Here is a 13,231-nt window from a genome sequence, read left to right as displayed (position 1 = left end):
CCTGGCCTAGGGTCCAGAGCTGCTGGGGTCCTCCTGAGGGACCCTAGCAGTACAGAGGCCAGGGAAATGGCAAGAGTGCCCGTGAGGATGCCACCTTTTCTGGGCACACCAGCCACGCCATCCCCCAGCCTCCTCAGCATCTGAGGCCTTGCCCGAGTGTTTGCTGAATGGAGGTGGTCTTTGGCGGTGTCACTGCTAGTCAGCCCCCGTCGGGTGGTGGGAGGGACTGGACCCGGGCCAGAACTGCCTTGGTGTGGATGTCGCTTGCCTCTGCCAGCCCCGGGACCTGGACACATGGCTTCACCTCCTCAAGCCTTGTCTTCCTTTATGTGGGCCAGGATCATCGCATCTGCCCAAGGGTCGTGGTGACAGTGACCTTGGCCAGTATGTATGCAAGTGCCAGGCACGTTGGGGACCCCGTATGCCTGCCACATTGCGCTGAGTGGATCCCTGCCACTGTCTGCCGACATCAGGCCACGAGGATCTGCAGGTCAGTGAGTGCATCATGGAAGCTTTCATGGCTCATCAGTGAGAACTGCAGGGTGATTGCGGGAGGAGCAGGTCGACCTCTCGTGTCCTAGGCCCTGCCCTCGCACTGGCATCATGCACGCTCCCACTGACACATGGACACAAATACATGCCCACGCATGCACAGCCACCCACATGCATGCATGCTGACACACACATGAAACCACACACACACATGCATGCTCACACATGCCCACCCATGCACAGCCACCCACATGCACGGGCAGCCACACACGACACACACGCATGGACACATGCACAGACAGCCACATACACACATGCGCGCACACACAGGCATCCACATGCACGCATGCATGCTCACACATGCATAGGCAGCCACATGCACGCATGCATGCTCACATGTACAGCCACATGCATGCATGCTCACACACACGCACAGGCAACCACACACGCATGCACACACACGAACAGGCAGCCACATACATGCATGCACACATGAACAGGCAGCCACATACATGCGTGCACACACATGTACAGGCAGCCACATGCATGCTCACATGCACAGGCAGCCACACGCATGCACACACACGCATAGGCAGCCACATACACGCATGCATGCACACACATGCACAGGCAGCCGCACGCATGCACACACACACATAGGCAGTCACATAGACGCATGCATGCACACACATGCACAGGCAGCTGCACCCATGCATACAGATGCATAGGCAGCCACATACATGCATGCATGCACACACATGCACAGGCAGCCACATACATGCATGCACACACGCACAGGCAGCTGCACACATGCACACACATGCACAGGCAGCCACATGCACACAATGCTCACACACAGGCACAGGCAGCCCCATGAACATGCATGCTCATGCATGCACAGCCACCCACACGGATGAAGGCTCACACACACATGCTCAGTCTCACGCATGCACACACACGTACAGGCAGCCATATACACACATGCATGCACACACACATGCATAGGCAGCCACATACACATGTGCATACACACACGTGCACAGGCAGCCGCAGCCATGCATGCACACACATGCACAGGCAGCCACACACACGCATGCTTGCACACACACGTGCACACACACACGCACAGGACGCCACATACATGCACACATGCACACACACACAGGCAGCCACATACATGCACACATGCACACACACAGGCAGCCACATGCACACATGGACACATGCACAGGAAGCCACATACATGCATGTATGCACACACATGCCTATGCATGCACAGCCACCCACATGCATTCATGCTCACACACACATGCACAGGCACCCACATGCATGCATGCACACACATGCCCATGCACAGGCAGCCACATACACGCATGCATGGTCACACACACAGGCAGCCACATACACGCATGCTTGCACACATGCACAGGCAGCCACATGCAGACACACACGCACAGGCAGCCACATACATGCACACATGCACCCACACGGGCAGCCACATGCATGCACATGTGCACGCACACACAGAGGCAGCCACATGCACGCATGCACACACACACATGCACAGGCAGCCACATACATGCATGTACACGCATGCACAGCCACCCACACACATGCATGCTCACACGTACACAGGCAGCCACGCATGCGCATGCATGCACACACATGCCCACACACAGGCAGCCACATACACACATGCATGCACACATGCCCACACATGCACAGCCACCCCCACATACACATGCTCACACACACATGCTCACAGTTGGCCTCTGTCTCTCCCAGGCGTCCCATGTGGCACCTGCTTCTGTGATCTGGATCCAGAGGAGGCAGGGAAAGCAAGTCAGGCAGCATGGGCCCAGCCGGAGCCCCCCTAGCCTGAGTGAGTGTTTCAAGGGCTGTGAAGGCCCATGGTATGCAAAGCGCCATGTTAGAAAAAGAGATGTGGAGTCTTCTTCCTGTTCTCCCTGCCGCTGCCATGCGGTCACTGACAGCCCTGAAGCCTTCTCACCAGGAACCTGCGGGGCAGGACTGTGTGAGAGAAGCAGCTTGCGGCACCACCTTCTGGAGTCCGGCTGCACACCCCAACTGTCCCCAGGGAGCTGCTGGCCTGGGCCAGGAAGGGTGCAGGGCTAGGGCCACAGACCTGTGCTCACTCCTCACCTGCTGCCCCAGCCCTGCAGCAGGTCTCTGCCTGTCTGCACACAGTGCCATGTGCCTGGCCACAGCTGGCACCAGCAGAGCAGGGCCTGCCCAGGGTCACCCAGATCACAGGCCCAGGCTCAGGCCTTCCTTCCTGCCAGGCTGGCCCAGGGTCCTGCTGACCCCTGCTGTCCTGGAAGTGTTGAGAGCAGAGAACCTGCACACGCCCACACGCCTGTTTGCAGACACAGTGTGGTGTGCGAGCCCCAGGTGGGCCCTCTCCCGCCCGTGCCACCGTGCTCTCCCACTCAGCCGCCCATTCTTGTCACCGAGCCCATGCAGAGGTGTCGACTCATGAATCGAGGACCTGCTGTCTAGCTGGGGCGTGTTGACACAGGCTGAGATTTGCACAGGATTTATCACTCTCAGATGAAGCATCCGCTTTGCTGCCAACGGGTGTAGACATGACCTTGGTAGCTGCCCTGTTCTTTCCTTCTGAAGCAGGCTTGTGAATAAGTGGGCATATCTGCCAGCCCACCATCTCCCGTGCACTGATCTTGCACAGATCAGGACTCAGGACTCCAGGCTCTTGGAGGGGTACTTACCCCCAGAGGACAAGCCCCTTAGACAGTGACTAGCCCTGTGCCATTCCAGGCCCAGAGCTTGCCGCCAGGTGCCCAGAAGTGAACCTGGCCCTCACAGTGCTGCTGGGCTGACGAGAAGGTAAACATGCCCACGGGTCTCTGCAGGTTGCTGGGATGAGGCTGCCCTGATACGCGGACGAGGGCTGGTGAGGGCCCAGGTGGGGCGGTCGTGGGGTGGAGGCAGTAGGACCTGGTGGAGGAGAGGAGGCAGAGCTGCTGCTGGGGGCATAGAATGGGAAGCCAGGCGTGTGGCCCCCAGGGCTGGGGCCAGAGATGCCGGGCAGGGGTCCCTGCTGGGGTGTCTGCCTGCCCTGCTCCATTTTCCTCATTCCTTTCCTGAGGAGTGGGCCCACCCGGCCTAGGGGCCAGGCTGGAGGGAGAGAGACAGGACTGGAAGGGCCGAGACAGGGAGAGGCTCTGGGCGCCGGGCTGCCGAGCCCTCGGGGATCTGCCTCTGCTCCACGGGGCAGCAGTCAGAGCCACGGGGCCAGGTGAGTGGGCACCTTGGGGTTGTCATGGCAACAGCTCTTAGCCAGAGGTGGACGGAACTGGGGGGTTGAAGGCCGGACATTTGGGAGCCCGTACCCTGCAGGGCCACTCAGGAAGCAGGAGCTACAGCGGCCCACCGTGGGACAGCTCCACGTGTCACACATTCGCCTGAAATCTGCCCTTCCGACCGCACCCCTGTGGCCCACACACACCCGCAGCCCAGCCCCCTGGACTTCTCTCCTGTCTGAGTGCACTGGCCTCTGCCTGGTGCTCACTGCTGTGAGTTTGAGCTTCAAAGCCCTCGTTAAGCCCTCTCCATCTTTCTCTAGGCAGAGCTGGGACACAGGGTTTTTGGGGATAGACCGAGAACAAAGGACCCGCGAGAGGGACGCTGTGGTGTGGGCAGAGGGCATGTGAGAGGCAGCCCTTCGTGGAGCTCTGGGCAGGGAGTGGTTCCTGAGACCAGTTCCTTGAAAGTAGTGTCTGTGTGTGGGGGCGTCCATGCAGGAGCCCGGAGCCATCTCTGAGGCTGGAGCAGCGAGGTCCTTTCTCTTCCCCTGTCCTGCTATGACTCTACCACAGGGCCTCTGCTCCTGGGTCCCCGCCTTGGGTCCAGTGGTGATGACTAAGTACTTAGGTTGTTGGAGAAGTGTGCTCACCATTCACATGTATGGGTTTTGACCAACACGGGTAACTTCATGCACAGTGATCCCCGATTCTAAAGCTGAGATGAACTTTGCCTATTCCCGGAGGGCGACGTGAGGGGTGCGCACCACCACACTGTGTCCCCAGAGCAGCTGCCCCAAGCTGCAGAATGCCCTCTGCCCCCTTGCCCCACGGCCTGCCCCGCCTGCGTCTGAGGGCGCTGTGGCCTCCCTGCTGTGGCTCAGGCTGCCCCCAGGGCTCTGACCTGTGGGACAGCAGACAGGAGGCCTGGGCTGGGGGCCTCAGGGCGCAGGCGTGGTCCGCTCCACACAGTCTTCCCATGTGGGACCAGGGGTTCTCCTCCGCCCACTCAGACAACTCCCCTGCTGCCCAGCCCCTCTCGGGCTGTCTCACCAGGCCACTCTCGGTCGTCTCTTAGACCTGGTGACATTTTGGAACAGAAATAAAGTTCGGCAGTGATTGGGCTGAGAGGCAGGAAGATGCAATGGGAGTTTGGGCTGAGGGAAGGTCAGCAGGACGGCCTCAGGGCCTCCATGTGGTGGGGAATCCCGGCTAGGCCCCTGACCCAACGTTGCTCCTCAAGAGCATTGAGGCCTGGAACTCAGCCAGAGGCGCTGAGGCTGCAGGAGTCCAGGGCTCACCTCAGGCTTCCCAAGCCAGAGGCAGGGGAGCTGGTGGCTGCCCGGACATGTGGGTCGGTGGCTAGGGGTGCACTGGTGGATGGCCAGAGATCCATGGGTGGGTGGCCAGGGGCATGCTCTTGGGCGCCCAGGTGTGAGGGTGGGTGGCCACGTCTCTTCAGCCAGGGCAGCTGCGAGCAGGGCTGTGCCACCAAACACCGTGCATGCCTCGGCTGCGTCCCTCCTGGCCACTGGCCCTGCCCCAAGTGGAGACTGGCCCAGCCGCCAACTCTGGCTTGCGGTCCCAGTGCTGCCTCCTGTTGGCCACATGCTCTCTCGAATGAGCTGCTCGCTCTGGCGTGGTTGTGAGGATGGAGCGGTCAGATGCTGGGGAGTCCCCAGCTGGCTCTGCACTGTGCAGCGCGGGGCCTGCGGTTCCTCCTCCAGGCTTCCTTCAGCTGCACGCGATTCCCCTGGCCCGGGTATCCAGGAGGCTCCCTGGCCTGACCGTGTGTCAGGGTCTGCAGGTCAGAGTCAGCTTCGCTCGAGGCTCCTGCTCCGGTCGAGTCCTGGAACTCGGAGCTGGGAGTTGGCATCTGGTTTGAAGCTGTCTGGGTAATAGAGACACATGGTGCCTTCCTTTTAATACGGCCTGGGGCACACAGACTGCCCTCTGAGCCTGGACCTGCACCCTCTGCCTCGGCCTCCGTGAAATCAGGCTTTGGACCCCGCGACCCCAGCCACGGTACCCTCTTTGCCGCCCTGGACAGGGCAGAAGTGTTTTGTGTGGATTGTGCCTGAGGAGGTTGGAGACATGAGAGGTCAGGGAGTTGTCCGTCCCCTGGTGCTGAAGCTGAAGTCAGCGAGGGTCTCCGGGACACTGGAGCTTGGCCTTCAGGCAGCAGCCAGTGGGGAGCTGGGCTGATTCCCATGGAAATGGGCATCCTGCGGGCATGGGCAGCCCTCCCCATGACTCATGGCCCCAGGCATTCAGAAGAGACTGCTGCCTCTGGAAAGGGAGCTCATCCCCGGGGCCGTTTGTGAGTCACAGTTTGGTGTTAAGGAGCTCCTACATACCAGGGGTCATTTGTGAATTAGGATTCGGGTGTTAAGGAGCTCATGGTGGGGGAAGGGGTGGACATTTGTGATTCACAGTTTGGTAGTTTGGGTTCCTGGGGCCGTTTGTGGCACAAGGTTTGTTGTTAAGGAACTGGTTCCTGGAGTCGTTTGTGACACGAGGTTTGGTGATAAGGAGCTGGTTCCTGGAATTGTTTGTGACACCAGGTTTGCTGTTAAAGAGCTGGTTCCTGGGGCCATTTGTGGCACGAGGTTTGGTAATAAGGAGCTGGTTCCTGGAGTCGTTTGTGACACCAGGTTTGGTGTTAAAGAGCTGGTTCCTGGGGCCGTTTGTGGCACGAGGTTTGGTGATAAGGAGCTGGTTCCTGGAGTCGTTTGTGACACCAGGTTTGGTGTTAAAGAGCTGGTTCCTGGGGCCGTTTGTGGTGCAGGGTTTGGTGTTTCTCAAGACTTCAGTTCTCTACATTTCTAAAGGAGCAAAACTGCCAGTGCCTTCTCACCTCAGCACCGACCCAGGATCAGAGTCACGGCCGCCCTGGTGATGGAGGGCAGGCCTGGGTGTGGACCCCAGCGGTGGGAAGGGGGGCGAGGGGCCATGCAGCGGGCCTGTGGCAGGGCAGTGGCTGGAGCCCATGTCATGCCCACCCAGCAGCCTTCTTGCTCCCTGTGCAGGTGTGTGGCATCCTCAGAGGTGCTCACGCTCCAGGCCTGGCTGAGGAAAGGAGGTGAGCAGGACCCTGTGGCCACGGGTGTTGCTGATAGGAAGTAGTTAACTGACAAGGCCACCCCAGCAGTCCCTGGGAGACTCCAGCCAGAGCAACGTCAAACACGGCCCGCGCGCCCCTCACCCCTTCCCTCCCTCCCTGACAGGCAGGCAAGGCCATTCACAGTCTCTTCTGAAGCCTTCCCATCTCCCGCTGGAGCAATGAGGTCTACACAGACAGCTTAATTTGAATTTGCCTCTCTGGGTCCCCTGAATTGAGAGTGGAGTTGCTTTCAACGCATGCTGACTTCACGTCCCATCTTGTTGCTTCAGCTGTGGTTCAGGATGTCCAAGCACTATGTTCGCGTGTGCTAACATCTCCCAGGTGCCCTCTGCCCGGCACACTCGCCTCCCGAGGCACCCCGGGGTGTGGGCATCCAGCCCAGGGTGGGGTACTTGCAGTAAGGTGAGCTTTGCCCTCCCAAGGCTGCCCCTCCTCATCTCGTGCCCTGGCCCCAGCCACAGACCTTCCTGGTGGATGTGCATGGTGAACGGTGTCTGCCCACCGCCAGGTTCAAGCAGGCGGAGGCTCAGAGTGATTCTCGGTCCCTTAGAGAGGGTGTGGGGGAGGTCGCCAGCTGTGGGGCCCAAGGACACGGGCAAGCCTGTGGCTCAGATCACCCTTCTACCGTGGCACCAGCCACACAGGACTGCTGACCAAAATCACAGCGTTCCTCATATCCGCATAGAGAATTCCTCATGGCTTAATGAAGTATGTAGGAGAAGATGCCAGTGGCTCATCACCCGTCACCTGGAGTGAGGGGGCACCATGGGCCTCGGGTCGTGTCTGCTGCCTTCCCACCACCTCTGCCTCCCCACATCTTCATGTCTGTTTCCTGGTGAAGTCGGGTCTGTGACAGATCGTTTTGTTTCCTGCTCTGTCCCTTCGACACTATATCGTGAGCATTTTACGCTCAATTAAATATTTCCTCGATGATGGTGTTTAATGGTTGCATAATGTGCTATTTCGCAGTTGTGCCATAATTTACTTAAAATATTTCCTTGTTGTAGGACATTTAGCCAGCTCCTCTTTTTATTTACTCACCTGTTGATTTATCTTTCGCTGTGTAACAAAGCATCTCAGCAATCATCTGTCCACACAGATCTTTCTCTGGCTACTTCTTTAGATTAGGGTCCTCGTAGATTGATTATTAGTTTGGATAAAATTAATTAATTGGATAAATTATTAACCCATTTATGCTGGAGGTTGCAAATTTTTTTGTGAAAAATCAGACCTTGGCGATGACCTTGAACACCAGGATATAAATAACTCCCACAAGCTTAGTGTTCCAATAATGGAACACTAGGCATAAATGGGTTAATTCAAATGCGTGACCATTTAAACCCATATTTGAGTTGTTTTGCATCTATTTCAGCCATGTAAGACTTCCGGGAATGAGACTTGGCTCATCTCGTGTAATTCTGAGACTGCAGAGCTGGGAGGACTTTGTCATGGCTCATAATCTTAATGAAACCCCAGGTATGTAATGGAGCAGTTCCTGTCTCCATCTTATGAAGATCAGCACACCGGGGCCCTGGTTCACCTAAGGTTCTGCAGATGGACAGGGTCTGAGCAAAGAACCAGGCATCCTGCCTAGAGAGCCCTCTGTCAGCTCAGCTCTGCAGCCCAGACTTCCCCTCCAGGCTCCAGGCTCCACTCCTAAGCTGAACCATGGGGCTGCAGTGGCCTGGGCAGGGAGCAGCGGGGAAGATGGGGCTGTTCCCAGCTCACCGTCTCTCAGTTCCATCTCTTTTCTGGATCCCAGGCTCCCCATCAGCAGTGAGATCCCTGCCTCCACAGGGTCCTGTGAGTGACTGGGACGCCCTACAGCTTGCCTGCCCTCAGGGGCCGGGTGCTTTCTGCTGACCACACCGTACTTCCTCTTGCTTTGGAAATGGCAGTGAAGATTGTATGTGAGCATCCTTCTGGGGTTTGGTGTGGGGCCCCTGAGATGGGACGCACGCAGGTTCAAGAACTACACTGTTTGCCAAATTGAGGGCCCACTGTGACTGCAGGAAGTCAGTTTGTAGTGAGCGGGGAAAGGCCAGGAGGCTCAAGGAGGGGAGGACTTTGGGGCAGCCTGGCCATGGCCCTTTGTCATCACTGTGTCGAGTGGCCTCCCTTCCTTCTGAGGCTCCAGCTTTCCTCAAGTTTGGGCTCTGCAGGGAGGTCCTAGCAGCTCCCCAGCTCCTCTAACCAGGACAGCCTCAGTTTCTGGGGGCCCTGCAGAGACATCATGACCTGGTGCAGGGCTTCCCAAAGCTGTCTGTGGCCCCATCTGCCCAGCCTGGGTCACCACAGGTAGGATCCAGGAACCCGGGTGTTGGCAGGCTCCCAGGAAACATGGATGTCATCAGCCCAGGTTTGAGGGGTGCTGATTAGGAACACTGTGAGGATACGGAAGGTGTGTCCGGTTCTCACCTGTCACTCCTGTAGGAGTTGTGGCGAGTCCTAGTTGGCCTATTCCAGCAACTCTTGTTTAAAGGAATATCCTTTCCTGATTGAATTACCTTGGTACTTTTGTTGAAAATCAGTTTGCCGGCCAGGCGAAGTGGCTCACACCTGTAATCCCAGCACTTTGGGAGGTCGAGGTGGGCGGATCACCAGGTCAGGAGATTGAGACCATCCTGGCTAACAGAGTGAAATCCCGTCTCTGCTAAAAATACGAAAAATTAGCCAGGTGTGGTGGCAGGTGCCTGTAGTCCCAGCTACTGGGGAGTCTGAGGCAGGAGAATGGCGTGAACCCGGGAGGAGGAGCTTGCAGTGAGCCGAGATCGCGCCACTGCACTCCAGCTTGGGCGACAGAGTGAGACTCCGTCTCAAAAGAAAATCAGTTTGCCATATGTGTGGTTCTGTTTCTGAACTCTGTGTTCCATTCAGGTGACCTTGTGCTGCTATCCTGAATACTGCAGCTTTATAGTAAGTCTCAAAGTCAAGTAACATAAGTCCTCCAATTTTGTTCTTTTTCAAAATTATAGCTATTCTAGATCCACATAAATTTTGGAATCCGCCTGTCAATTTCTAGAAAAAAGCCTGCTGGGACTTTGATTTGGATTACATTCAATCTGTAGATCAATTTGGGAAGAACTGACATTCTTTTTTTTTTTTTTTTTGGAGATGAAGTCTCACTCTTGTCACTCAGGCTGGAGTGCCATGGAGTGATCTCGGCTCACTGCAACCTCTGCCTGCCAGGTTCAAGCGATTCTCCTGCCTCAGCCTCCTGAGTAGCTAGGATTACAGGCGCCTGCCACCACACCCGGCTAAGTTTTTATTTTTAGTAGAGATGGGGTTTTACCATGTTGACCAGGCTGGTCTCGAACTCCTGACTTCAGGCAATCCACCTGCCTGTAATACAGGCATGAGCCACTGCACCCGGCCGGGAAGAACTGACATTCTAACAATATTGTGTTCCAATCCATGAAAATGGTATATTTCTGTATTTATATAGGTCTTTACCTTCTCCCAGCAATGTTTTTTATTTTCCAACATGCAGGTTATGTGTATTTTTAAAATACTTAGCTTTAACTAGTTCATGTTTTCATGCTTTTGTAAATGTGCTTTAAAATTTTTATTTTCCAATGTTTCATTCCTAATATATAGAAATAATTGACTTTTATATATTGGTCTCGTATTCTGTAACCTTGCTGAATTTACTTATTAGTTCTAGAAAGTTTTTGTAGTTTCTTCAGGATTTTCAACATAGACAATTGTATCGTGTGCATAAAGTTAGAGTTTTATGTCTTCCTTTTCAACTTTTATGCCTTATATTTCCTTATCTTGCCCTTCAGTACTGGCTAGGAATTTCAGTACAGTGCTGAATAAGAATGGGGGGGGGGGGACATTTTTACCTTGTTTCTGATGCTAGCGAGAAAGCATCCAGTATTTTGACATTAGTATGCTGTTAAATATGAGTTTTTCATAGATACCATTTATCAGGCTGAGAAAGTTCCCTTCTGTTCTACTTGCTAAGAGTCGAATTTTGTCAGTTTTTTTTTTTACATCTATTGAGATGTTCATATGAACTTAATTATTCTGTTGATATTGTAAGTAATACTGGTTGATTTTTTTTAATGTTAAACCTAACTTGCATTCCTAGGATAAACCGCACTGGGTCCCTTTTTATACAATTGATAGATTCAATTTCCTAATTTTTAGTGAGAATTTTTGCATCTATGATCTTGTGCAATATTCATCTGTGGTTTAGTTTTTCTTGTAATGTGTTTGTTTGCCTTGGTATCAGGATGATGCTAGCCTCAAAAATGAATTGGGAAGGGTTCCCTCCTCCTCTTTTTTCTGGAAGAATTTGTGTGAGATATTTCTTCCCTAAATATCTGATAGAATTCACTAGTGAGGTCATCTGGGCTTGGCATTTTCTCTGTGGGAAGCTTTTTAAATTATGCATTTAATTTAATAGATATAGAACTACTCAGATGTTTTTTGAGTCAGTTTTGGTCATTTGTATCTTCTTGAGTTTTTGCTTATTTTGTGTATACTGTCAAATTTATTGGCATAAAATCATTCATAATAATTCATTATTATCCTTGTATTACCCATAGCATCTGTAGTGCCATCCCTTCTTCCATTTCTGATTTTGGCAATACATATCATCTCTTTTTTCGTCATCACTCTAAGTTTTATCGATTTTTTTATCTCTCTCCTTTCAGATCTGTCAGGTTTTGCTTCCTATATTTTTAATCCCTATTTTGGGGTACATACGCAGTTAAGATTGTTATATCTTCTTGATCACTTGCAATTGTAATTATAATTATGCAATGTCTGTCTTCATCTCTTAAATATTCTTGTTCTGAAGTCTGACTTGAGTAATATTAATATAGCCACTCCTGCTTTCTTACAATTTTAATATTTATATATACCTATCTATATTTCTAATCTTTTAATCTACCTGTGTCTGTATATTTTTAATGGATTTTTTGAAGATAACATCTAATTGAATCTTGCTTTTTTTATTCAGACTGATAATCTATGCCATTTATATTTAATATAATTTTTATGACATTGAGTTTAAATCTGCCATCTTGTCATTTGTTTTCTTTTTGTCTCGTATATTCTTTTTTTCATTTTTCTTGCCTCTTTTGGGCTGTTTTTTGGTATTCCATGTTTTCTCCAACATTGGCTTATTAATTATACCTCTTTGGTTTTCTTCTGTTTTGGTTTAGTTATTGCTCTAGGGCAAGGGTCAGTAAACCTTTCCTGTAAAGAAACAGGTATCAAATATTTTAGGCTTTGGGAGCCATACTGTCTGTGTCACACCTCTGCTGTTGTAGCACAGAAGGAACTGTTACATAATGAGCTCAAATGTGTGCCAGTAAAACTTTATTACAAAAGCGGGCGGTGGGCCAGAATTGGCCCATGGGTTGGAGTTTGATGACCCCAGCTCTATGTCAGTCTGTTTTCAAATAATCTTACTAGTTAACATAGAGCATTTTAAAAGTATTTTTCCATTTTTTCTTTTTATGTAATTTTTACACAAAATTTTTTTGTGAAATTATTTTTTCACTTTAGAGAGTACATTATCTTCTAAATTAAAATGATTCAAAAATGCTTGTTGAAGTGTATTCACCTATTTAAATACGTGAACTGTATTCACATATTTACTGCTTCTGGCAGTAGTGGGAGGAGGACCAGGGCGGGGGGCCTGGAGATGGAACCGCACCTTCCCATGCTGCCTCGCTAATTCTACAAATACTGTTGACATCCTGTGCGTGTGGCCTTGAGCAGAGGGGTAAAGACCGGGCAGCCCTGGCAGGGGCTCTGGGGCCAAGGACATCACCTTCTGGGGGTAGGAGCAAGATGTCCTTCCAGAGCCTAGGTTTTGAGAGGAGGTTACCCTGGCCTGGTTAGGATGAGTTGTCATCTTTTAGCTTTTGGTTTGGTTTCTGTTTGTGTTTATTTTCACTTTTTGCCATGGAAAGTTTTAAGCATATATATAAAAATATGGAAAACAGCATCGAGAAGTCCCTGTGAGCCCATCCCACCCTCTTCCCCCTTCCTGGATTATTCTGAAGCAAATCCAAGGTATCGTAATTAATTTAGCTGCAATCATTCAAGTATTGTAGCATGTGTCTCTGAAGGGCTGGTGACTCCATAAAGCCCTAACCAGAGTCCTTTTATTGTGGTAGGACCTGGTCTCGGTGGGTGAGGACGGTGGGGAAAGGGGCAGCGTCCGGCAGGGTGACCACCTGTGCGAAGGAGAAGAGAGACAAAGCACCTGGTGTTGGACCAGACGGGGGGCTCGGGACCTTGGGCTGCAGTTGACCACGTGAGGCCCTTAGCCTCCAGAGAAGGAGCTGGTTTAACATGACCAATGGTTGTGGAG

The 13,231-nt window shown here is 52.6% G+C and overlaps 1 protein-coding gene across 6 annotated transcripts in view, besides 1 other annotated feature; it reads left to right on the top strand.

Annotated features, from left to right (window-relative positions):
- Positions 1–13,231, top strand: part of MAD1L1 (mitotic arrest deficient 1 like 1) — a 417,151-nt gene that overhangs the window by 343,482 nt on the left and 60,438 nt on the right. The gene's annotated exons all lie outside the window — the stretch shown is intronic.
- Positions 5,301–6,090: an enhancer, noted in NCBI's record as "H3K4me1 hESC enhancer chr7:1923010-1923799 (GRCh37/hg19 assembly coordinates)". NCBI's record gives its function as "activates a minimal SCP1, AML or CMV promoter by ChIP-STARR-seq in naive and primed H9 embryonic stem cells {active_cell/tissue: H9 hESC(naive and primed)}" and the evidence as "EXISTENCE:reporter gene assay evidence [ECO:0000049][PMID:30033119]".

The sequence above is a fragment of the Homo sapiens genome, chromosome 7 (assembly GCF_000001405.40).
Source record: "Homo sapiens chromosome 7, GRCh38.p14 Primary Assembly".
Lineage (NCBI taxonomy): Eukaryota > Metazoa > Chordata > Mammalia > Primates > Hominidae > Homo > Homo sapiens.
Note: the sequence above shows the minus strand (reverse complement) of the source record. Positions and strands in the feature narration are given on the sequence as shown.